Raw genomic sequence first — 27587 nt, 5'->3', positions numbered from 1 at the left:
GGAGGAAAGGATTTACAAATGAATATGGATAACTCTTGAGGACTTTTAATGTAAAAAGCTCAAAGAAATGGAGTAATAAAAGCACAAGTGGGAAGAGTGATCAGGAGGGGATTTTTTTTAAGTTGGGAAGAATAACAGAACATTGAGTATACACAGAGAAGAATGATCCAACAGAAAACGAAAAATTAGAAGAGAGAAAGAAAATTTATTGTATTATTTTTAAGTTGATTTGCATGAGTGTTTATGTATGTGTGTGTATGTCCAAGTTTGTTAACCCTGTCAAAATAAAATCAAACCACAGTTTACTCCAAAGTGCTAAGGAGTAAATGTGACTGACAGTAGTTACTTAGTTTCACTCCCATTACTTCCTGCCTTCCCAAAAGGAGATGACCCACCACTAATAGTTTAGTGTGAATTCTTCTAGACCTGCACTGTACACATAAAATCTATCATACAAACAAAATTTTCCACCAGTACCTTACCCAAGATGTACCCAGCCAGGATTATATCTGTTGGGAGCACAACTTTTTTCAAGAGAGAAGTGCCAAACTATTACTCTATTCTGAGAAAGGAGAACAAATAGCAACTTCTGACATTTTAAAAAGAAAACCTTCCTGGACCTCTTTGTAGGCTCCCTAGAGAGGGAAGGAGGATGGCAAGGTTAGGTCTGTAAGCTGACAAATTCCAGTCTTGACTCGGTGCTCTGGCTGGCAGAGACCCGTGAAGTTGTTTGTGTAGGAACAAGAGAGCTGAGCACAGAGAGCCACACTCACAGCTGAACTCAGCCCAAAAGCCATAGGGAGCATCACCCTATGAGTACCAAGTACTTGACATCCTAAATCAGGCGGCATTATCACAGTCAAGTGTTACCATCATAGACTTGACTATGCCAGGTCGATGTAGTCAGGTGATACCTGGAGAAAGCCAGCCCCATTTAGTTCCATCTTTTGAATCTGGAAGATGGATTGCCATCCTCCCCCAACACCCATACACACACACAATTTACAATTGGCATTAATGAGGTGCTGAGGTTTTGGGACAATTCTGGGGATAGGCAATCTCAAGTGGGAGATCCTGGATTTTCTTGTACTAAGGCTTATGGGAATTCAAATGATTAACTGGGAAAAATGAAAAAGGATATGATAATATAACACGATAATTTTATGAAACAGTTTTTCATCAATTACTTATATTTTGTATATATAAATAGCTATCTTTTATAAAATATTTTTATAAACACATATATACATAGCGAATACTGTACATGTTATATCATTTTGCAACTTTTCTTTCTTTTTAGCCAACAGCATAACATACGCATCTATTTTAAAGTCAGGCCGTGTAACTCTATTCTTTTCTTTTCTTTTTTTTTTTTTTTGTTGCCACTGCGAAGTTTTCCACAATATTCAACTGTGGGCTATTGATGAACCATTAGCATTCCTCCACTTTTTTACTATTACAAATCATATAGCTTCTAACATTTTGCGCATGTGTCTTTATGCATGTGAGCAAGCATTCCAATAGGATATGTGCCTAGAAGTGAAATTGCCAAACCAAAAACTCACTAACTTGTAGTTTAGATGGGTTCTGCCTATTTGTCTTCTCCAAAGCTGTTCTCCTGTCATTAACAGTGAAAGATGTTCCGTTCCTACCCACCTCCCACACAGCTTTGCCAAACCTGGATATTACCAGTCTTTATAATTTTTGACAACTTAATATGGGAAAAATGCCCTCTCATTATTGACTGAATTTGTGTCTCCTTGTTAGTGAGGTTCATCACCTTTTCATATGTTTGCCTTTTGTATTTGTTTGTAAATTGCCTATACATATCCCCGTTCTTTTTTTCTATCAGATAGGCTGTCTTTTTTATATTGATTTTTATGTTTTTATACTTTATGAATATTAACCATTCTTATGTTTTAGGTGTTGCAAATTTTTTCTTTTTTATCATTTGTCTTTTGAATGTGTTTATAGTGACTTTTGCTGGTGTACCAAAGCTTCCATTTTTAAAATACAAAATACATGAATCTTTGTGAATCCTGGGTTTCGTCCTTTATTGATAAATCCTTCTTTAGCATAAGATTATAAAAACATTATGCTATTAATTTAATCATTATGGTTTTTTATATCCGTAATCTATCTCAAAATTATTTTGAGTTCATTGTATGATAAAAGGATAAAACTTTTTTTTTTTTTTTTTTTCTTGAGACGGAGTCTCGCTCTGTCGCCCAGGCTGGAGTGCAGTGGCGTGATCTCGGCTCATTTCAAGCTCCGCCTCCCAGGTTCACGCCATTCTTCTGCCTCAGCCTCCCGAGTAGCTGGGACTACAGGCGCCAGCCACCATGCCTGGCTAATTTTTTTTTTAATTTTTAGTAGAGACAGGGTTTCACCGTATTAGCCAGGATGGTCTCGATCTCCTGACCTCATGATCCGCCTGTCTCGGCCTCCCAAAGTGCTGGGATTACAGGCGTGAGCCACCCGCGCCCGGCCGATAAAACTTTTTTCTAATTACTCAATATATTAAATAAATTGTCTAATCACCACTAATTTGAAATACAACTACATTTCTACATATATTTGTAGAAATAAGTTCTGTGCTCCCTCTTTTAGTTTCTTTCTTCATCTATCAATGCACTATGAACATTGGTTTTTTTCATGCTTCCACGTAAGTCTTTCATTACTTATTTTTTTTTATTACTGAAACTTACCAGATATGCCAATAAATAAGATTTCCTATAGGAGATTGGCAGGGAGTCAACAGTTAAGTTGGGAAGGTATTAAAAATGTGAGGTGCAGTGAGCCCAACAGATTAGAAAATAATTGCCACGGAAAAGACATTTTGTGGCAGGGCACAATGTCTCACACCTATACTCCCAGCACTTTGAAAGGCTGAGGCAGGAGGATCGCTTGAGCCCAGGAGTTCAAGACAAGCCTGGGCAACATGGCAAGACACCATCTCTACAAAAGATACAAAAATTAGCTGGGTGCATTGGCACATGCCGTCCCATCTACTTGTTAGGCTGAGGAGGAAGGATCACTTGAGCCCTGGAAATGGGGTTGCAGTGAGGCAAGATCATGCCACTGCACTCCAGCCTGGGTGACAGAGCAAGACCCTGCCTCAAAAAAAAAGAAAAAAAAATATTTTTTTGCTGACAGTTCCCAAGAGGAAGGGGCATGCCAATCTACTCAGTACCACACGGGGACATACCAGGGTTGGTCAGGAGGAATAAAGGGAGGAGGGAACTATGGGGAAGAGCCTTATTACGGTTTCTGCTGGAAGAGGTAAGGCAAGGAAAGCAGGGTTAGGACTGGCTTATTAGTTTCAGCAGGCTCTGGGGTGATTAGAGCAGGTGGTTAGTGGCCTGGAGTATGAGAGCCCTATAAAGAAGATAGTTGAGGTGTGGATTCTGGATTGGCCAGTTTGCATATGAAAGGCATGCTTAGAGGCAAATTGTTCATTATGTCTAGGAATTGGCTAACCCTTGGAGGGGCACTTCCTCCTGAGTCACCTAGGCCCCAGATATCAAAGCATACAGAAAATAGAAGACATGATTAATACACCTTCACTCAAGGAGTGCCATTGGTCAGTGAAGTTCACTCACGGACACATGTCACTTCCTTTTCTTTTTAGAAGAATTCTCCTCCCTAATGTGGATAAGAAGAATTTAATAGGGGACTTTTTGCATTTCATTTCTGCTCCTCATGCTCACAGTTTCTCCAGGATTCTGTTGGGAGCAATGACCTCTCTGCAGTGAGCTTTTCATTGGTCAGCTTTGGGACACTCTGTTCTCTGGTCCTCACTTCAGCCAAGCCTATCTTACTTGCTCTTTATCATTCAGAAGTTTCTCAACGTTTCTATCTACTCCTGTTTTCTAGAGTTTTCGTTGATGTAGGTCTTTATTTTAGACCTTTTTGTTCATCTTAATAATATTGAGAAGTCTGGAGTTATCAAATAAGTGTGCTCAGCTCCACTGTCTTGAATGGGGATCCCATAGTAGATTTAATGAAGTAGAATAGAGAGTAGAATCTCTGGGTTAGATAGATAATCTTGGGAGCAGTAAGAAAGATGAGTAGAAGAAGAAAATAATTAAAATAGGACATTTTAAAGGCTTATGCAGCTATTTGTAGTATTTGTCTCCCCAGTAATTCCAATTCTGGTAGTTTATCCTAAAGAAATAGAGCTACACATGAAAAAATTCACTGTAACACCATGTTCAGTGGACAATAATTAGAAACCACCTGAAATATCTGACAGTAGATAAATGGCTACACAAGTGTGATAACCAACTGATAAGAAACTATTCAGTTGTTTAAGTTCCATTTTGAATAAATTGAATCATGGGGAAATTCTCATGTTATAATGGAAAATAAAAAGGAAAGTCACAAAGTTATATAGTATATGTTTTTATTTAAAAATGAAAACAATAATCTAAAATGCCAAAAGTGGTTATTTTGAGATTTGGGAATTATAGAATTTTATTGTTATATTTGTTCATTATATATATATATACACAAACACACATACACACATACACACACACACACACACACCCATATATATATATATATATATATATATATATATATATATATATATATATATATATATATATATGAACATGAAAAAATTGAAAAAGAGTTCCTTGGAAGAGCACCCTGTTTGTCAGTGAATGAATAGTTATAAGCTTGAAAAACATTTCTTTGGCTCATATTATGTATTAAAATCCTGGAAAATGTAGAAGATTCCTCAATACATGCAATAATCTGATTGAGTAATTAAAATGAATACCTGGATCACAGAAGATAATGGATCAAAGATTTTTATAGGTGGAAGCCCAACTCACACAATTTGCAGATATGAACCCTGGTGCCTACAGAGTTGAGTTCTCTTCCTCAGGTCTGTCTGCCAGTTAGATCAGAGCCAGGGATACATTTCAATCTTGAACAATAATGTGAAAAATATCCTATGACAGATTGTGATTCTGCCAGGTAGGTAATAGAAACTCTTCACATCTCTAAATAGCTGGGGTAATTGCAGGAGTTTTTCTGCGTCTTGCCAAGTTTCTTAGGGTCATACTTCCTACATTTCTACAACTAATGCAGGGGCTTCTGAACTTGTCTACTTATCAGAATTATATGGAGAACTTTAAAAAATATGTTAAGTCTTAGGCCTCAGTGTGGTTAAATCTTAGAACCAGAATTCCCAACTTTCTGGAGGTAATTCTGATGCACTATCAGCTTTGTGAATCATTGTGTTTTTTTCTTTTTTCCTTTTTCTTTTTTTTTTTTTTTTTTTTTTTTGAGACGGAGTCATGCTCTGTCACCCAGGCTGGAGTGCAGTGGTGCGATCTTGGCTCACTGTAACCTCCGCCTTCTGGGTTCAAGCAATTCTCCTGCCTCAGCCTCCCGAGTAGCTGGGACTACATACGTGTGCCACCATGCCTGGCTAATTTTTTGTATTTTTAGTAGAGTTGGGGTTTCACCATGTTAGCCAGGATGGTCTCAATCTCCTGACCTTGTGATCCGTCTGCCTCGGCCTCCCAAAGTGCTGGGATTACAGGTGTGAGTCACCACACCCAGCCGAGAATCACTGTGTTTTTATACCTCTTTACCTCTCTTTATATTCTTAGGAAATGGACAAATAGACAAAAAATGTGAAAAAGTTGCTGGTTAATGAAAGACCTTCTATACACTGACCTATAGAAGACAGGTTTTAAAATGACTTAGTAATACTAATTGTCATTTAGAGATGTTTGCACCAATACAGTGATGCTACCCCCTTGAACCTTAGATGGTGTACCAGCACACCTGATGATCAGGTGGTCAATGAAATGGGTACTTAACTTCATATCTTTGAATTTGATTTATTGCCAAGGTGCATTGAAGAAGCTAAAGTAGTTCTGCTAATGCATTACAGAGAGTAAAAGCTGTGAGTTTATCAAAGAGAGAATCATCATGATGCGGGATGGTCAGGGAAGAGTAAATAGTTATAATAGTAGCAATCATTCACTCTGAACTCCTTTTGAGCCAAGAATTGTGTTAAATGCATTACCCACATTTGTCACATAAATGCTCACAATGAGTCTATCACATAGTAATTTGATTTAGTCAAAATAAGCTAGCAAACAATCTCAAAATACCAGTGGATTTAAACAAAGTTTTATTTCTCACACATACCTCATGTCCATTTGAGGTTTGGCAGGGTACTCTCTTCCATGTCATTTCTACTCAGCAACATTGGCTGATGACATCTCCACCATCTGGACTGTAGGTGGTTGCTAAAGCTTGGGGGAGGGAAGATGGAGCAGTGTGCAACAGCTCCTACACATGTCCACCATGAAGTGACCCACCCCACTTTCACTCTAGCCAAGCCAATTCATATAGTCACATGCAACCTAAAAGGAGCAGGAAATGAAACTTTCTCAAGTGAGGAGAATTTCAGAACTAGAAATATTAGTGAGCTGCATGCACTAATATTTGCCACGGTGTCGTTCCTGATTTTAAAATCAAGGGACTCCCTAATTACAGAATGGCAAAAAATTTAAGAAACCTGCTAATATCAAGTACTCACAAAGATACAGAACAATTGGAGCTCTCAGGCATAGCTGGGGGAATGCAAAATGGTACAGATGCCCTGAAAAATAGCTTGGCAGCTTCATTTAAAGTGAAACATATACTACCATATGGACCAGGATCTTGCTTATGAGTTTTTACTGAAGTCTTCAGTAAGTCACTGAATTCTTCACTGAAGTCTTCACTGAAGTCAATTTTGCCCCCCAACATTTGGTAATGTGAGGAGACATTTTGGTTTTCACAACTGGTTCAGAGGCTGTTACGGGTACCTAATGGATAGATCCAAGGATGCTGCCAAACATCCTGCAATGCACAGGACATTCCCCACAACAAAGGGTTATTCCACTTTAAATTCAAGGTGGAGACATTTTGCACTAAAGAAATAAAAACTGCCAGGTGCACTGACTCATGCTGTAATCCCAGCACTCTGAGAGGCCAAGGCAGGAGGATCACTTGAGCTCAGGAGTTTGAGACCAGCCTGGGCAACATAGAGAGACCTCATCTCTACCAAAAAAAAAAAAAAAAAGATGAAAAAAAAGTAGCTGGGTGTGGTGGCATGCACCTGTAGTCCCAGCTACTCAAGAGGCCGAGGTGGGAGGATTGCTTGAGCCTGAGAGGTCCAGGCTGCAGTGAGCTGAGATCATGCCACTGTACTCCAGCCTGGGTGACAGGGTGAGACCTTGTTCAAAAAAAAAAAAAAAAAAAAAAAAACGAGAGAAGAAATAAAATTTTATCTTCACATAAAACCTACACATGAATGTTTATAGCTGCATTATCTATATCACTGACAACTGGAGACAACTCTCATGTCTTTCCATAGTTAAACAGATAAACCATGGTCCCCATGCAATGGGATACTACTCAGCAATAAAAAGAAATGAACTATTGATAAATGCAATAGCATATATGAATCTCAAAGGCATTGTGCTAAGTCAAGGAAACTGACTCCAAAAAGTTTTATATTATTCCATTTATAGAACATTCTGGAAAAAAGAAATAGGAATAGATAACAATCAGCGGTCTCCAGGAGTAAGAAGTGTCAGAGGGTGGTGAAGGGGAGTTAAGTTAAAAGAAACTGCTTGAGGGAAATGTTGGGGGTGTTGGAATTGTTCTGTATCCTGATTTTGGCAGTGGCTACAATAATCCACATGTACTAAAACTCATTTAACTATATACCCCCCCCAAAAAATAAACTTTAGTAATATAAATAACTTTTTAAGTTGAAAAAATTAAAAATAAGTAAAAACACAAAAGAACAGGGCTGAGAGACTTGTCTCTGTCCCAGAGATTGGGGTGCAGTATAAAGAATAGAACCCAGATTAGAATGACTGCAGAAACAGCCTTCTTCCCCATTGCATAAAGCTGCCTCCACATGAAGAAGGACTGTGAGCTGTAAACAGAGCTTAAATGACTTTTAAGTTCAAAAGTATTTGTCGTTCCATTGTGTTGACTCTTGAAAGTGTTAAGTGTATCACGGTGACTTGGTAACCTTCTAATAATACCATGGTTCTCCATCAGTCTAGGAACACAGATCTAGATCCAGGTCAAAACTGCCTTTCTAGGCTGGGCACAGTGCCTCATACCCATAATCCCAGCACTTTGGAAGGCCAGTATGGGAGGATTGCTTGAACCCAGGAGTTCAAGACTAACTTGGGCAGTATAAGAGTATAAGCAGCTCTCCTGGTTCCTGGGAAATATAGGGAGACCCTATCTCTAAAAAACATTTAGAAATTAGCTGGGGGTGGTGTCTTACACCTGTAGTCCCAGCTACTTGGGAGGTTGAGGTGGGAGGATGGCTTGAGCCCAGGAGGTCAAGCCTGCAGTGAACCATGATCAAACCACTCCAGCCTGGGCAACAAAGAAAGACCCTAAGAAAAGAAAAGAAAAGAAAAGAAAAGAAAAGAAAAAAAAGAAAAAAAAACAGAAGAAAAACATCTTCCTTACTCACTACCCCTCACCCTACCCTATACAGGATGCCCAAGGGTAAGCGTGGAGACATGTCAACAGGAGGAAAGACCCAGTTTAAGTTGCAATAGCCTTGGGTAAAACAGACACTCTATATGAGTAATAGAAATAGATGCTGAATTTGGTGTTAGAGTTATTTCAACTCATATCTACATTTCATTTTTCTGTCCTTCATTTTGTAATAATCTTGCAGTGGTTAATTCTAATAGTGGGCTATTGCTTGAGGTATCAGAAACAAAACAAGGAAGAGCTGAGTATCAATGTTTTCAGTACATTTTACATGTGTAACAAGGTTAATATAATAGACCACGTTAATAATGAGGTCACCTGGTGCTCTCTCATATGCCTTTCCTGGTGCATGTGGTCAGAGGCTATTCTAATCAACTCTGCCCGCCTCCTGACATTTTAATTACTGAAACAATTACTATTGCCTGGGAAACAAATTTGAAAATGACTTGAATAAAAGAGCAGATAAAGGAGAGCTGAGTTTTCAGTTTTTGTTTTTTTTTTTTTTTTTTAATAATTACTCCAAGAGTAGATGCTCAGATGAGAAATTTTTAATGGAATTAATAAGATGATATTAGGGGTTGGACAAAACCTCCACTAAGAATGGGCATAAATGAACCCAAACCTGATTCTTAACTCTCAAGGAAAATATACCACATAGTCCTGGCCATGAAAGCCACAGTCTTGTAATATTGTTTGGTATCCTTCAAGTATTTATATGTACAAAAATGGACTTAGAGCATTGGTCTGGATTCTTCAGGAAGCAAATATATACATTTCCCCTACACTCTACACAGGAAGTTCATAAAACAAGTCATGCTGATTAAAAGCCATAGTTAACTGGGTCTTTTTCTTCCATTGACAAAGGAGGGTTGACAAGTCTGGGAAGAAAAGGAACTCAGATTTATTAAGAACACACAATAGAAGCCAGGCACAATAGTAAGTGTTGCAGGTCTGGTGCACTATCCTATGTGCTTGTGTAATCCTCCCAAACACTGCTTATCAATCAGGGTCTAGTTGCAGAACACAAACACGTTTTTGGTCATTTTAGGCAGTGAAATGTGTATTTACATCATTGGGTGGGCTGAAGAAAAACACTAGGCTGGACACTCAGAGTGACTCCCAGAACAACACTGTGGAAACCAGGAGAGCTGCTTCTACTGCCACAGTCAAAAGGAGCAGAACCAAAGGCCCACCCCAGCCAGCACAATTGCCTCTCAGCACACCCATGGCCAGTCATGGACACTAGAATTGTGCTGCAGTGAAGCCCAACATCTCCACAGCCATGCTTGCCAATAAAGAAAGCCAAAAAGCAAAAAATTGGCCTCTCTCTTGCATCTACATTTCAAACAAGTACGTTGTATTGGTGGAACCTAATTTGCTTATGAATGCTAGCTCCAAGGGAGTGTGGGAGATGTAGTTTTTTGCCTCCCAGGTCCTGTAATACTGAGATCAGGATGATAGAACGATTGCTGAGTGCCAACTACCTAATGCACTGCACTCTGTGAAGGAGTTTATGTTTTTCCAATTCTTTATAGGAAAAATACCGAGGCTCAGAGAAGTGAAATAAGTTTAACAAGATGGTACAAACTGAAAAGTAGCAGTGCCAGCATTTGAACCTAGTTGTCTATCCTCATTGTCATCATTTATTGGGTACTTACTCTGTTCTGTACCTTGTTCTAAGTACCTTCAAATATTATTTTATTTAATCTTTAACGCTGTTACATAAGTATTATGGTCCCCACTTTGCAGGTGAGGGAAAAAAAACAATGCAGAGACTTAAATAACTTCCCTCAAATCCCACAGTTAGTAAAGATTAGAGCCAGCATGCTTAGAAACTAAACTCCAGCACTTCTCTTCTTCTCCTACAGCACATTGAACTCTTGACAGTGGGTGTTTGATCAGCACCATTGTTGATATATATCTCTCAACACTCCCTGAGACACCAACATTCCATGCATATGGAGTAAGATGGTAATCCTCTGAAAGCCACTTAGGTGCTTTTGGCTAACTGGTGTGGAAGGTTTGAGGGCTATTTAGAGTTACATACTTGGTGCAGTACTGGCAAGAACCTAACAATAAGCTCCCTGGAAATAAGAGTCCTAATTTGTAGCCTTTACCAGTCTCTGTGATATAAATTCTCCAACCATGGCCAATTTCAAGCTACCAATATGGTATTAACCAGTTTGCAAAATTCCTGAAAATTTAACAATTGGCTCTTGCAAGCTAGTATGAGCCAGCTCCAGACAGCTCTGTAAATGGTCTCTATTTGTTCAGGACCTAGTATACCCTTACAAGGAGACTTGAATCCTTTCTACATTTGGAGTTCTGACATGTATTGAGATGTCTAAACACTGGAAATCTCTTGACAGAAGGCAGATAGCAGAGAGATACAAAGAGGTCTCTGAAGGGGGAAGAACACCGTAGGTTTGTCATAAATCTGGTGGGATGGGGCTGATAATTTCTGAAGAAACAATGGTTTGGGGTGCTACTCTTGAACTTGCTTGGTCTCTGGCCCCTGTGTCAACTATGAGCCCTACGAAGGAGAGACAAACTTTTAGTGATTCAAGACACTTTGCTGGGAGAGGCCCTTATCACAGGTAGGTGAGTAATAAAGCTGAAAAAACACTATGACTAAGGTTCCAAGTCACTCTGTGGAATAAACCCTATTCTTTGTGCTATCAAAAGGAAGGAAATGTATTTCCATTCTAGCCAGAGACTTATGGGAGCACAGGCACTGCAGAAATTCTCCATAGAAAAGACCAAGTGTAGCCACTGCCTTTCTGCTCTCTGTCTTTAACGTGCTGTTTCTTACCTGGGTATGCTTTTCCCATTTCTTTACCAATAAAAAAAATCCTATTCCTCAGTCAAAATTCAAATGCCATCTTGTACAGGACACTGGGACCCTTTCCCAAAATCTCTGCAGTTGGGATTAGTAATTCTTCCTTTGGTTATATTATCTTTTAAGGTACATGTTTCATTCTTCTTGGCATTTGCATTAGTTGCCTACACATGAGTCTTTGAAGGTACATGATGAACTCTCTCAGGGTAGTGGTGGTAGTTCATTTGTGTCTGTGGTTCTGACCCTCTGGTACATAGAAAAGGGCTGTCGCATACACATGCTCAGTAAGTAATGCTGACATTGCTTATATAGCAAGTAGAGAAGCAACTGGTATTAAAGTACACTCAAAAAAAAAAAGTTTAAAGAAGAAGGAAGGGCTGGCATGGTGGCTCACACCTGTAATCCCAGCACTTTGGGAGGCTGAGGCAGGTGGATCACCTGAGGTCAGGAGTTCAAGACCAGGCTGACCAACATGGCGTAACCCCATCTCAACTAAAAATACAAAAATTACCCAGGTGTGGCTGGGCGCGATGGCTCACATCTGTAATCCCAACACTTTGGGAGGCCAAGGCAGGTGGATCACCTGAGGTCAGGAGTTCGTGACCAGCCTGGCCAACATGGTGAAGCCCCGTCTCTACTAAAAAAAAAAAAAAAAAAAAAAAAATTAGGCCTGGTGGTGGGCACCTGTAATCCCAGCTATTCGGGAGGCTGAGGCAGGAGAATCGCTTGAACCTGGGAGGCGAAGGTTGCAGTGAGCTGAGATCATGCCATTGCACTCCAGCCTGGGCAACAAGAGCGAAACTCCATCTTAAATAAATAAATAAATAAATAAGCAAGCCAGGCATGGTTGGGCACACCTGTAGTCCCAGCTACTCAGGAGGCTGAGACAGGAGAATTGCTTGAACCCAGGAAGCAGAGGTTGCAGTGAGCCAAGATCATGCCACTCCACTCCACCCTGAGTGACAGAGCAAGACTCTGTCTCAAAAAAAAAAAAAAAAAAAAAAAAAAGTAAAGTGGGAAGAAAGTAAAGAAGGAAGGAGGGAGGGGTGGAAAAAGAGAAGAAATCTCTACCATTCAATGTTTTGTCTGAAGGGTGAGGGTACATTTTCACCCCATGATCTGATATTAAAAACATGTTTTTAGAGGAAAGCGAAGAATCTCTTTAGAACATCTTAGAGCTAGCTGCCTGAGTCATGGCATAAGAATAATCCCACCACCCCCTGTATTTCTTATTTGTAATTCATCCTTTCTAGGGATACACATGTTCCCCACAAGAAGTGTTCACCAGTGAGATTATCCTTGGCAAAGCCATTGATCAGAGGGCAAAGGATTGTTTCAGTCCCTGTGCCAATGCTTCCTTGATGGCGATTGCTTCCACGAAGCAAACACCTTAATCACTTTGTTTTCTCTAGCATGTCAATAAGTGCTCATATATAATAAATGTGTGCTTACAGCATATATAATATATATGGATGTATGTGGTGTTTTGTATTCCATGCCTGAAAGAACAGTTGATTTATTTCATAGCTTTTATGGACTGTTTTATTATTCTCAACAACATCACATCCATTCTCTTTGCATGCATATTTTATAGCACCTTGATGGACTTATTTGATTTGACCCAGTGTTTTGATGACAGCACAGCCATAGGAGGTTCACATTAGCTTACACAAATCATTTGCTCAAGTCACTTTAGAGTGTGATCCTGCCCTCAGGTTATTTGTGGACTGCCAGCTCTTTCATGATGGGCAAAATAGCATAGCATGCCCTATAAAGCTATGGCTCAGGAAAAGCTCTTGGTGATTCTTGGATCAACAGGGCAATCTCCTAGGAGGGGCTGCTAACTGTATAAGTATAATCAGTCATTGACAGAATTCTATCACTGGCTTTGATTCAATGTGATTCTTCTGGCTGTCAACATCCTTATAAGGAGAGGCTAAGACAGAGTATCATAACTGTATGTCAGATTCTTGAATCCTAAAAGTTCATGCAGCAATAGATTGGCCTTAGTAAATACTAATTAAAGAGTGGTTTGGGCAGGAAGGTCTGAGGATTGGCTGTGATGACTCGGACAAGCACTAAAACTTGAGAAGCCCTGCTTTAAGAAGTTCATGATATTGCCAGGGATGTTAACATGGGTTCTAATAGACATCTTTATACAGTGCTTTAGGAGCACAAATAATGTAGTAAGAAACACCACTTTGGGTAGTTGAGGACAGTCTTCCTAAAAATTGACATTCAGACATTTTCTTGTCCTTTGATTTTTTTCCTACTCTGGCAGACAAACTGCTTTTTTATATTACTATTTTTTGTAGAGACAGGGGGTTTGCTCTATTGCCCAGGCTAGTCTCAAGCTCTTGACCTCAAGTGATCCTCTCCCCTCAGCCTCCCAAAGTTCTGGGATCACAAGCATGAGCCACTATACCCAGCCTAAATGGCTTTCACTCCGTGCCTCATTCTGAGTCAAAATGGCTCTGTCCAGGGTTCTGAAACCTGCCTTCTAAATGTTCTTCATGTGAAATCAGTTCAAGGATCTGACAGGGAGACTCCTGTTAAGTTTACTGCTGTGTTTTATGTTGTTTCCTGGTGATCCCATATTAAACAGACCTGGGAGGCCTCAGGAGTAAACTTTCACGTCAGGAAACTGAGTCTAGAAGAGGCCTAGCAACTCAGCCCCCAGCACAAAGTGAGTTGATGGCAGGACCAGGAAGACCAGCTCTTAGGCTTTCTGACCTTCAAGCAGCTACTCTTTCCATGACATTGGGGTCTTTTCCTGGTCCATTTGAAATGGTTTATGATTGGATTTGTGGCCATAAGTTAGTGTTCAAGGCTGAAATTTTCATAACATCAATAGAGATGAACTTCTTAATCTTATTAATATTTTCTTCTTGTATGTGTACCCTTAATTTGTGAAAATAGTCCTTTTTCTATTGGAGTTTGACTTTTCCCCCCTGATAATTTATATATAAAAATTATTATGAGCATCAAAATCTTTCTATGCTGATATATTTTGAACGGCTTTAGAGGTGTATAAATCTTTTTTAAAGTAATACGTTTTCATCAAAAGTAATTAGCTTAACTTAAATTAGACATTATCTTGATTTTCCATTTTTTATACTTGTGTGTGCATGTCACCTTTTATAACATCTTTTGTAAAAAAAAAAAAACAAAAAAACTTTTGGCTTCATAGCTAACTTGAATTTCTTTCTTAAAAGATTTGAGAATGATCATGAGTGTTCTATATCAACACTCTTGGGCAAGAATCGAGGAGAGCTGGTGACTATAAACACTGAGTGGTGTCCAACAGAGCTGCTCATAAGTGTTATTTGTAAAGGAAGGTCATAAGGCCAAGCAGGAGATGTCAGAATACCAGGTGGTTAGTCTGAGCAGTGCTGGACTAGGGAGAGAAAAAAACAGGAATCAAATCTTTCAGTTAGAGATGTAGCTAAATCAAAGCCACAACTCTGTGGAGTTTATTAAAAGGGAGGCCAGAAGATCAGGAGACATATCAACAAAAGTCAGGTGGAGATTGGGCAGGGTTGGTAGTGTAAAATAAGGTCAGTTCTGGGATAAATCTTGTAATCTTAACCACTGAGTGCCTTTTACTGGGGACTTGACACCCTTATACTGGGTGAGGCAGGAGACGGCACGCTTAAAGCAGTAAGCACCTTCTAAGCAATAGGTCAGTTTCTCTCAGAAGCAGTAATACAAACATGCATTTATAACCCATGGCAGTAAAAATAATTTGAGCATTATGAGAAGGAGCGGAATAGATTCTGGTGCTTTGTGTAAAACCCTTTAAATTCCCATTTCATTAAAAATTCTTCTCTGCAGCTGGTAGCAGAGATTACCGTGGTTCACCATCTGTGGGGATTAATGTTTACTTAAAAAGAAAGAGGGAGAGCGAGCAGCAGATAAGATGAATGATTTCCAGATACGAGAGAGCTAAAGTAGAATATCTTTGTGTGTGTGTGTGTGTGTGTGTGTGTGTGTGTGTGTGTTACACCTGCTTTATTTGAACTCTGTGATAGAATTGTTTAAAGAAAACCTAGGCTTATTTATGTTTAAAGACTGAATAATGTAGAAACAGTGGATCATCATCAAACTGTTTAGATTTACATTTTATGCAGAATTCATTTTGAGAGGTTTTTAGAATCTGTTAGAAATAATTAGGCATGTTTGGAACTTTCTTTTTACATTTCCCATTCTGGGAAGATTTTTCCTGATACTTACAGATTGAGTTCATGAGGCAGAACTCCACATTCTGTCCTGAGGGGACCAGATTACCAATTCCCTCTAGGTCTGAATCTGATCAATTACAGACATGCACCTCATCCGTAGACTGACTTAGCTTCAGTAGATCACTGACTGGTTGCCTTCCAGGAACTGGAATTGCTGGTGAACTATGAAAACAATATAGATAGTTTTTTGCTTGGGGTTGGTTGGTTTGTCTGTTTTAGCACTGGCTGTGTGACAAGTGCAGTCTGTGCTTTACCTGCAACATCGCTTTAATTCTCACAACCACCTAGAGAATAAACACTGTGAGCATCTCGTCTCATTATAGAGGAGACTGAGACTTAAAGAATTTAAAGAACTTGCTGCACTTCAAAGCTAATACATGTTAAAACAGATATTTGCATTCAGATCTGTCTTCCCCTAAAGCCCATGCTCTTAACCATTACACTCTACAGTCTCATTCAATACTTAGGTTATTTCCAATTCTATTTAGGCACTTTTAGACCCCATCTTAATATTGAGAATCTCATTTCCTTGAAAATCATGCTTTTTCCTTTCAATATGCCACGAGTCATCAGTACCAGGAGCAGAAAGCATCTTACTTACTGCAATTACACTTGCTAATCAATTCTGCATCACTGCCCAGTGTTATAAATGTGTAGTTACCTATATTCTATTGACATGTGGCCTCATTTCTTACTGAAATGGGCAGTAGTCTCAATTTAGAGGCTCTTTTTTTTTTAATAGCACAGGGGAGCCAAAGAAATATGTCAATCTCATTGCCAATCAAACAGAAATAAACCATTGTGTTCATTCCTCATACCGGGGATCCATAAGCTCAGTGTGATCCAGGTACTTCTGAGTTTTAACTTCTGAATTAAGGAGACTATTTCTGAGAAACTGTTCTTACCATTATTTTGAAATTTCCCTTTAATTTTTATATTGATAATTATCTAACTTGCATTAAAATATTCAGTATTATTTTATAGGGTTTGAAAACCACTATATGGAGCTACATTTCTGCTAAGCTTTACAAAATAAAACATCATAAACCATGTGACTATGTTAGAAGACATCTGGATTGATTCAGTGGTTGACTAGCCAACCACCCTAAAAGTGGTATAATGAAGGGTAAGGAAGCCCTGTCACCTCCAAAGGAGAAGCCAGGAATTATAAAGTCGAGCGGGTATCTTGAGTGTTAGTTCAATGAAGGTCAGCAATGATGTCCAGGGTGCAGAAGGAGCAAGGGCAATTAAGAGGCAGAGGTCTTAGCATCAGCTAGTTGCTTAAGCTGTAGATACAGAGAAATCTACTGTCATGGCTGAGGAGTCACTGGAAGCATGGTCTGCTTTTGGGGAAACACTGATAAAAGTGAGATGAGAAGAGCACAGGAAAGAAAGGAGTAAAAACTAGCTGCCAAGAAAAATAGCCACAAAGTGGCAAGGAGGTTTAGGGGGAGTGCAGAGGGCATGGTTACTTAAAGAAGCTGTTATGTGAACTCCAGTCCACCTTTAAGCAAGGCATGGAGACAATATACTATTTTCAGAGTCTTCTTCCTGCTCAAGGGATGGAATATTTCCTAACCTAGTACCTTCCTGGGGCATTGTTGGCTCAGACATGGGAGCAGTAGTCCTTAACCAGAATGAGTCAGACTAGGATTAATGACAGTTGAAATGGGCTTAGTGGCATCGTCAGGAACTATCAGGACATGACAGAGACTTTTAAAACATTGCCTTTGTTTATTTGGCAATAGCCATTTATTTCCTCATTTGATGTCTCTTAAGAGTAAGTCACCAGGGCACAGTTAATAGGGAGATGAGGGAAGCCAACAGCTCATTCACTGCATCATTTTTATATCTGCCCTGTTCAGCCTTCTTTGAATGGTGCAAAGGGGTGCATGGTCCCATCTTACAGAATCAACGTGGTTTCCTCTGTGAATATTTGTCTAGCTTAGGCTGTGGGTGCTTCTAGTGGAGCAAATGCATCTTGCTTACTTTTCACATTCACTAAGATATGATATAGAGGCAGCCTAACATCATAGATGAGGAAAGCATGAACCATGGCATCTCTCAGGCATGGATTTAAAGCTTAGCTCTAGCACTGATGAGCTGTGGGGCTGTAGGCAAGCTATTTCACCACCCATCTTCTCATTTCTGAAATTGGAAGAATAACTTCTATCTCACAGGGATACATCAAGGGTTGAATGAGACAACACACATTATATTGTCTGGTTTTGACTGCATATTGGTTCCCCCCCACCGGCTCCCTGAGGCCATGGACACTGCCCTGCGGCCTGGCAGCTTAAGGAACATGTCCAGCCCACTCTGGAGGATCATTGCACTATAAATGTCTTTTCAACTTTTTCACTACCCAAGAGGAGTCTTAGACATTTGGGCAGCAGGAGGAACCCCCTGTTTAGTAGATTCGTTCATTAATTCAGCACATTTTTATTGAACACCTACCATGTTCCAGACCCAGATTTTAAAACTAGACATGCAGCTATGAATGACTAGACAAAAACACTTGCCTTCATGGAGCTTACATTCTAGCTGGGGGAGAGACAAGCAAATAAACCAATAGGCAAATTACATAGTGTGTCAGAGGTTGGTGAGTACCATGGAGAAAAATAAAGCAGGAAAGTGAGATGAGGAGTGTCAGGGTGCAGTAGAATAAATGCAATTTGATGTATACCAGTCATACTTCAGAAGGTGATGAAGAGACCCTGAAGAATTTTTTTGAATTAAAGGACCTCAGAGGGAAAGTCCATTCTGCCTGTCCCCATCCCCACTCTCCCTAAGACACTAGGTTCCTCAGGAAGATGCTGCCCCTTCTTAGTACTGGTATTCTTGGCACCCAGCACAACATCTGACACATACAAGGCACTCAATAATTGTTTGTTGAACCAAACTGCACTCCTCAAACCTTGCTCAGGAGCCAATGTGCCCTTTGACACCTGAAATATCAGTTTGCATTAACAGCTCCACCTGCACGCCTCAGTTTGACATGCAGTGAGTTGTGAGCCTGCATGTTGTTTATTGATTTGACTAATAATAAGTAATGGAGTGGCAACTCAAATGACATTAATGTGGAAGGAAATGAACACCATAATTGAAATGCTGTCCTGCATCAAGGCACCTTTGTTACTGAGAGAAGAATTTGATTTTCTTACACAGTGTTTTCTGTTTCACTTCCTCAGCTCTCAGAACTGTAAAATCCCATTGAAAAGGTGTGAAAGGCAAAAGCAGGGTTTTAAGTAGAAATTCAAAGTCTGTTTCACAGTAGTAAGAAATGGTGATAGTGGGATGAACTCAATGAAAATAGGAGAAAGTAGAGAAGGAAATAGAACAAGAGATGTGAGGGCTTCAAATGCCAGAAGTAAATCTATCCAGAAAAATAAAGATAATTGGCCAACTCTCCTTTCATAAGGTTAAAACAATGGCCTTGTCTTGACTTTTATTATTCACTCTGTTATTCATTTAGCAAATATTTATGGACCACTTACCATGTTTTGGGTGATCTACTAAGCAACTTAGGGTGCATAATCATTATCCCTATGTCATAAAAAAAAATTGGCTTTCCTTTTTCCCCGGTTCCTGGGAGGTAACCACTAAACTTTTGTAATTTCCCAAGTGATAGGAATGTCTCTGTTTTCCATGGTGGACCCCTTGGAACATACACCTGATAGTTTTTGCTAATGAGGTGACTCATGGTGGGCTCCCAGATAGATTATGCTAATAAGGTGAGTCAAGATGGGAGCTGGCTGCATTAGAAAGACCAACTGTGTGATTAGAAGGCTGGGGCTTTGAGCTGCCTAATATTAACCCATGGGGAAAGGAAAGGGACTGGTTATTGATGGCCAGTGAATCATGGCCAATGATTCAGTCAATCAGTGGACACAATTAAGCCTCAATAAAAACTCTGGACACCAAAGCTCAGGTGAGCTTTCCCGGTTGGCAGTCCTATAAGTATTGTCATATATTGATGTGCTAAGAGGGTAAGATATCCTTGAGGATGGTGGGAGTTTCACATTTAGAATCCTCCCAGACTTCTTTCTATGCATCTCTTACTTTGGTTGGTCCCTGTTTGTATTCTAATCACAAGTATAGCATGATCCTGAGTTCTGGGAGGAGTTCTATTGAATTACCAAACCTGAGGGTGTCCGTGGGGACCAGTGAATTTGTATCCAGCTCATCAAAAGTGACAGTGGCCCAAGAGACCTCCAAACTTGTGACTGGCATCTTAAGTGAGAGGAGTTTGTGGAAAACTATGCCCTTAACTGTGAAGCTGGGACTAACTCCAGGTGGTTCTTCAAGTATCTCAGAGTCTAGCTAGCAAAATCAAAGAAAGAAAATCACATTCACCCAGCAATGGTAAGGCTATTTGCATGCAAATGCATCCTAGTATGTCATGAAAGAGCAAGGTCCGTGCCATCTAACTCATGGGGATAATCAAAGGTGGCCTTCTAGACAAAGTAAAACTTGAGCTGGATTTAAGCATAACTACTAATTAGCAAAGCAAGGCAGGGGCTAGGTAATGGAGACAGAAAGAGCAGCGTATGGAATAACTTCCAGATTCATCCTTGTCCTATCGGAATCGATGATGATAACAACAACAGTAGTAGTGGCTACATTTACTTGGACTATTTTTTATGTGAAACATGCTTACTGTTTGTTGACTTATGCAGTACCCCAAAACCTCATCGAGAAGTTATTGTGGTTCATATTTTCCAGTGAAGTAAATGAGATTTAGAGGGTGTATACAATTTACCCAAAGCCATCCAACTAGTAAGTTGCCACACCTTTGCTTCACACTTTGGTTTATGTTATAGAGTGAATATTTGTGCCTCCCCTCCACATTCATGTATTGAAGCCTTAATGTCTAGAGTATTGATATTTGGATATGGGGCTTTTGGTAGATAATTAGGGTTAGATGAGGTTGTGAGGATAGGACTCTCATGATGGGATTAGTGCCCTTTTAAGAAGAGACATCAGATAGTTTGTTCTCTTCTCTCCCCAACTTCCCCCGTCCCCGCCCCATACACATACACACAAACACACAGAGAAAAAAAAAGGCCATGTGAACAGAGGAAAAGCACCCTCACCAGAACTCAACCACAATGGCACCCTATAATCTTGGAGTTCCAGACTCCATAACTGTACAGAAATAAATTTCTGTTGTTTAAACCACTCAGTCTATGGTATTTTGTTATGGCGATCCAAGCAAAGATAGTTTCTGAACCCAGAACTCTTATACATGATTATGGCACTGTATTTCCTTTGGGAAGAGCAACTTAGCCTCTGAAAAATATGATTACTGTAAGGCATCCTGTCTCCTCTAGAGTATAATGCACACCTTGAGGTGGGAGAAGGTGCTAAGGTTGAAGCCAAAAAAAAAAAAGACTCCAGTTAAAGGCTGGTTCTGTCTCAAATCCTCTCTTATCTAAATGAATAGAGCTGTTAATTTCTGTTGTAACATATTCTTGTTACTGGCTGCTAAAGAATCCTGAGAATCTCAGTGCAAAAGGGACTCTCCCGTCTGATTCTAGATTCAAGCAGTCCTCCAACTTAAGCTTCACTAATACTAGTTGGAGCAAATTAACTACCTTCCTAGGTAGCTGATCCTTCATCATACAGATGAGATCATTAGAAACTTTCTTCAAGGAGTTGAAATTTACCACTGTGTGTTTTCCACTAATTGGTCTTGACTTTATCTGTGAGAAAATTAAGGCAAACATTAATGGCATTAGCAAGAGGGTGGCTGTTGTATCTGGTTCTATCTGTAAGAGAATTAAGGCAGAAATTAATGGCAATAGCAAGCAGGTGGCTGTTGTATATAGTGGACCATATGAGAAGTCTTACAGTTCTGTCTTGAACCCTTTCTAGCCTTACAGAATCCATTATAGTTCATTTTAAGAAAATCATGGGTCTGGAGTTCTTTTCAGATATAGCCTTTGGTGATTCATCTTTCACTATAAGCCTTTGAAGTGTCTAGTCATATACATAAGTAATCTTTTATTCAACTCTTATTTTCTGTGTATGTATTCATTGTTCACACTGGATTTATTTTATGTAAATCAAGTCCCTAGACATGAGGGAAACAAAGCAAAGCCAGATTAATTGGCTAATTTTCAAAGACTCATTCTACATTGATTGCAGCTTTTTTCCCATGAATTTTTTACTATGCTCTCTCTTTGCTATGCTGAGTCTCCTTTGAAACAACTATATATAAAGTTGGTATATAGAAAGTTGACCCAAATCATCTCATTAAAAAAAAAAAAAACACACATCTGCAATAGTGACCTAGTTCTCATTTTATCAAACTCAGCAGGTTTAAAATATAATAGGGGGAAAGGGGTTTTTCACAGGTAAAGCTTTTCCTAATGCCTTTCTAATCCTATACTTGCTGTATGTACATCTTTTTTCTCTCTCTCTCTCATCCTTATTTTTCCACTTTTGCCATTTTAACTCATGCATTTAGAAAATCTCCACAATGAGGCTGGTTCTGCAACGTTGGAGAAACTGCAAACTGAATTAGATTTCTGTTAGAGGGAGGAACTGCTGCTGCCAGAATGAAAAAGCGAGGCCAGCAACACTTTGCTTGAAGCAAACACTAAGCTGACACTACTAGGAGTATCAGATCTCTCCCGTGTCCTCTGGCCTCGCAGTCTCCTTTAGCACCCCCTACTGGCAGAACCTAACAAGGATCAGCTGGCAAAGCAGAAACGCAGGTTGCTAGTCCTTAGTCCCAGCACCTCAAAGCAAAGTACAGAAAGTTAGATTTGAAGCTGAGGGACAGTGGCTTCATAAATGGCATGGAAGGTATTTTATGTTAAGATTTCAGAGAGTACAGTTTCTGTCCTTGGCTTCATAGGAGGTCAGCGCAATACAGCCCACAGGTTGTGGGGAGTAGGATTAAGTCAAATACTTAGTGTAATATCTTTGTCCCATTCTCAGTCTATTTTTGTTTGCTTCCCCAAATCTTAGTGTATCAAGATGGCTGCTGGAGGGGCGTCTATTCTGAATACCCCTAAAGGTATTTTAGTGGGAGAGATAAATCAATAACTGCTATGTAGTGTTTATTATAGACACATAGCAGAGCAACTATTAATACACAGCTATATCATCTCTATATATTATATGTTACTGGCATATATAAATATATCATTAGAAGTCTGTTTCTGTTATATAGGTAAAAGCCTAAGGGGAGGAGAAAACCTAACTTAAGGAAAAAGCATCCATCCTCCAAGACTGTCTAGGAAAAGTGAATGTGGACAGGGGCCAACTATGCCCCACCAGTTGGTTCTTTCCTCCAGTTATTCTTGCATATCTGCAGCATGGAATGTCAGGCCCACCTCCTCCATATTCAGAAACATCACATATTTGGCCACTATCCTAACCATTGTTTTGCAGTCAGACTTCCAGCCATTCAGTTTCCTGGATGTTTTGGAGAAAGAAAACAAGACAATGCTGAAAATAAAGCCTTAAGACTTATGAGGCAAAGAGAATTGCAGATCTCATTGTGCTTGAGTCTCTACATAATTGGGTGGTTCTAAATAGGGAGGGCTAATTTCATGGGGTCAGCACTGGATCCTGTAAAAGCATATGCCATTTAAAAATTAATGCTTCATGAGTGCTAAGTCCAAAGTGTCTCAAGAGACTAGGGGAGAAAGGGTTTCCAGGAATGAGATTTGGAAAGAACATAAGGATGAAATGGGATATGCCTGTAAGGAAGGAAGAAAAATGTAAAGAAATTCAGTTCTAATAAATCAGGAATAAGTAAATCTTGCTCTGTCTTTGCACACTTCTTTTTCTGCATCCCTGTAGCCTGGCACAGCCCTGTACAAACAGCCACTCACCTCTCACCATTGTACCTTATCCTTATCCAATCTCACCACTCTGACCTTTAAATAAGAAATATAACATTTATTCTTATGTGTATCATGGCAATCTTCAGCCACAGAAACCCTCAGAATTCTTAATATAAGCAACTGATCCAACAATGATGATCCTGTTTACCAAAAGTTATAATAACATCTATGTGGCTCTTTATACTTTACAATGCCCTTTTGCATCACGTCTTTTAGTCTTCACAAAAACCCTGTGAAATAAATAATATTATCCCCATTCTTCATTTTTTATATGAGGAAACAGAGGCTCAGAGTTCATATAATGTGCCCAAAATCACATCATCAATAGGAGGTAGATCCAGGACTTGAACTCAGCTCTCCTGATGCCAATATTGACAGCCCTTCAGTGGCCTGTGTGAAACGTGGCACAGAGAACCATGTACCACAAAGCCTCACTGTGTGACTGGGTATCCCAAGGTGATTTCAAAACCCAGCCAAAAGTATATTATTGGCAGATCTCCTGAGCCAAGTAATTCCAATATGAGGGAACAGGATAACAAACGTGGCCACTGGGGAGACATTAACATACTAGTTTGGGATGCTGACAATTGTTTACCTGCTGTCACTCACTTACAGACATGGCCAGGCAGCAGTGTCAATCTTGCTGTGGGCTGAAACCCCTTGTTGAAGGAGGCACAAGGTAGAGTTTTGTCATTGTTCACTTTCAGTACTCTTAAGAAAGTGATTACAACACTTTCTTGTATGGATTTGGTCATGAAATTTCATTCTGCCACAGATTGAAGAACTCTGCCCTGATGTAGAAGAGAAAAAGATATCACCCCAACAATTAACTAACATTTAATGTTAATTATTAACTAATTATAATTAACTAGCTTATGTTAATTATTAACTAACAATTAATTAATAATTAACTAACATTGGGCACTTACTAGATGCTTTGTATATCTCATTTAATTCCCACCACATCCTATATAGGGAGGTACCCTTATTGTTCCCATTTTGCAAATGGGAACACCGAGACTTTGATAGGCTAAGTGACCTGCTCCCATAGGGATTAATAGGCAGATCTAGGATTCAAGCTTAGTCCCTCTGACTCTAGCACCTTTCCTCTTAATCACTGCATCATATGGCCTAGATGTTAAGGTTGTCCTTAACTACCCTTCACTAGCCACTGAAATTATTTCCATATGATGTTTCTCTCAGTAGGTTTGCACAAATGTGCTAGCCATAACAATTTACAATGTTCCAGCAGAGGCAAGGACCAAGACACATAGGAGCCAAGTGTTTTAATAACTTCCTGTGCTAGCAGTTATAAAAATGTAATTGTTGGTGCACGTTCAAAGAATTAAAATATGGCAAGGTAGAAGGAGCTCTTAAAGCCAGCTTTCAGAACTACGGCTTTGCCCTTGTAAACAACTTTTATATACCCCTTTTGGAGTGTGTATAATGAAATGACTAACATTTTCAGCTGTAACCGGAGCTATTACCCAGCAGCTGACTGTTTTGTTGCTTGAAATCTGTTCAGGAAAACACTGAAAATTGGTGGAAGGGGTAGACTGTGGGGACTCCTTGTCTCTGCACGGGCACATTTTCCTCGTTGTCCCAGTGAAAATGGCCTGCAGGTAAATTGCACCCATGCCTTCTCAGTATAAAATGAAGCTCTCATCTGCCTATTTTGCTTCTGCTTTTAATACCGATGTCCCTTCACTCTTGCTCACTAAAGTGGAACATATGGTTTTCTTTATTTTTAATCTTCTCCAAAGAAAACTACAAGTGGAAGATTCCAGGTGCCCACCTAGAATTCTGAAACTTACATGATTTACATTTTTGATGGAAGTTCCCAGAGAGATATATAATGAGTCATTTCTCTCCTTTCCGTTTCTCAATTTACATAATAATATAGTTATAGTTGCATGTCACAGTTATAAATATTAAGAAAAAGTTAATATGAAGTTGACTGAGCCCCTTTTCCCCTGAATTTCAGACAGTGGGCCTCTGAAGATTGAACAACTGAGGCTAAGGAGAAACCCCTGAATTTCTCATCCAATTTCAACCCTGACTGTGCTAAAAATGAGTGTTTTCTAAGGACAGATGCTATCACAGAACCAGAGAGGTTGTTGTTTTACTTGTTCCTGCAGACTAGACAGGAAATCATAAAATTATGAAAGCAGAATATTGTGCTTGTGTCATCCACTGTCTCTTATGTCATTCAGATCGTAAAGATAGACTCTGTTCTATTTCCAACCCTTTCCTATGAGAATGGCTGTGGGAATAGAACATTAGGACTGCTGCTCTTTCCCCAAACCCAATAATAGTTTTTTGCTAATAGTTTGTTGCGATAGTAAGTTGATGCATGAAGCCGTGTGTGTCTCAGCCGTATCATGACAGATAAATTGGGCCAGCATCATTATCTGAACCAGATTTTTGTATAGTGCTGCATGGTATGGTGCTTAGGATTCCTAAGAGTAACCTTGAGGAGCTATGCTAATGACAGTACTTTTCATCTCTGGCTTTTCCTGTTAAAATACAGAGTCATGCTCTTGGCTGCCAAAATCAGTAGCATGTGGTGGTAGGCGTATACTGCAGGTGGGAGTAAAGCAGCCTTTTGAATCGGATAGCCTTTTCTCTAGTCTTCGCTCTGCCATGATATGCAGATTATGTCACTTCTCAGAACCTCAGTGTCCTCATCTGTAAAACGGGATAATAATACATATTTAGGAGGGTTTTGGCAAGGACATCACAATTGTAAAATGCCTGGAGATGTTAGATACTTTGTAAATGGCACTAAATATTATCATGGAATATATGCTTTGGTAAATAAAAAACAATGGTTTCCATTTGTTTGGATGATGATAATGTTTTAAATCCTTGATTTATGTAATTGTGGTATCACTTTCCTCCTCAAAACAAATGAATTGCTCTGCACTGCATATAAGATAAGATCAACCTCCCTGTTTGTCTCCTGTAACACATGTACACACAGACATCTGTAAAATCCATAATTCAGCCACCGTTCACTCTGGACTATTATCCTGAACCATGGACTTTATGTTATGTCAGTCATTTAGAATACCAATTCCTTCTTTCTCTACATGTAGAACCATTTTATCAGCCTGTTGAGCCCCATCTGACCTCCCCCGCTTTGGAGCCTTTCATAAGCCCCCTGATTCAACTTGGGGTTCCTCAGACCTCCAGATAACCTTTCATCATACCTCCATCCTAGGACTCTGCACAAGCAGCTTGTAGTAAAGGGATCTTGAAGCTGTCTTTCTGCCCCATGAGAATGTGAGAATCAACTGGAAATGGGAATTGTGGCATATTCAGCTCTGTATTCCTCCTCGTTGTGGACCAAATAAATAAGTAAACGCTGGTTTGTGCAGAAGTTTGGTGTTTATGCTACTCCTGTCACTGCTCTGTATTTTCTGCTTGTTTATCTGTGATTTGCGTGCCTTGTCATTATTTTTATGCTCCTTGGCGGCCACTTACTTTACAACTATCTGTCCTTTTATATTGTTTCTAGACTCCTTGTGGTCTCATGTAAAGCATTTGGAGACCAGGGGAGTTGTTGTTGTTGTTGTTGTTGTTGTTGTTGTTTTACTGAAATGTCTCCCTCACCAGTTTTCATGTGGATGACCCCTTAAATAACCAGAATTAACATCGGGAAACAAACTATGAGTTTGCAATGCAGAGTTTCTGCCACTGCTATTGCATGGGAGGAAAGAAAGATCTAATACATTAGGATTGGATATGCTTGAGACATTTTAATCAAGCATGTCAGTCCTTCTGCAAATAGAAAGCACTGGCAGCAAAGAGACAGGATTGTCCAGGGGACAGGTCGGGAATGCTAGAAACATTAGAAAGTTCACTTTCCTAATACCCTCTTCAGCTTAAGGCTTGCACATTTGCGCGGGGCACAGGTGCATGCCTGCTCAGAGCTGAAAGAGCCTTACTGTTTGCTCCTTCAGCCCCCCATTGACAGATAAGGTAATTGAGTCCAAAGGTGAATCAGCCAGTTCAGATCCTGTTGGCAATTAGGGAGGAAAGCAAAGACCATGACAAAAGTCTTCAGGCTCCAAGTCCCCCACTCTTTCCTCCTCT

At 39.7% G+C, this 27587-nt stretch overlaps 1 protein-coding gene across 3 annotated transcripts in view, besides 1 other annotated feature; it reads left to right on the top strand.

Moving 5' to 3' along the window:
- Positions 1 to 27587, top strand: part of CA10 (carbonic anhydrase 10) — a 529711-nt gene that overhangs the window by 276579 nt on the left and 225545 nt on the right. The gene's annotated exons all lie outside the window — the stretch shown is intronic.
- Positions 13769 to 13969: a silencer, noted in NCBI's record as "peak2891 fragment used in MPRA reporter construct". NCBI's record gives its function as "represses an SCP1 promoter by STARR-seq MPRAs in K562 erythroleukemia cells {active_cell/tissue: K562}" and the evidence as "EXISTENCE:reporter gene assay evidence [ECO:0000049][PMID:32103011]".

The sequence above is a fragment of the Homo sapiens genome, chromosome 17 (genome assembly GCF_000001405.40).
Source record: "Homo sapiens chromosome 17, GRCh38.p14 Primary Assembly".
Lineage (NCBI taxonomy): Eukaryota > Metazoa > Chordata > Mammalia > Primates > Hominidae > Homo > Homo sapiens.
Note: the sequence above shows the minus strand (reverse complement) of the source record. Positions and strands in the feature narration are given on the sequence as shown.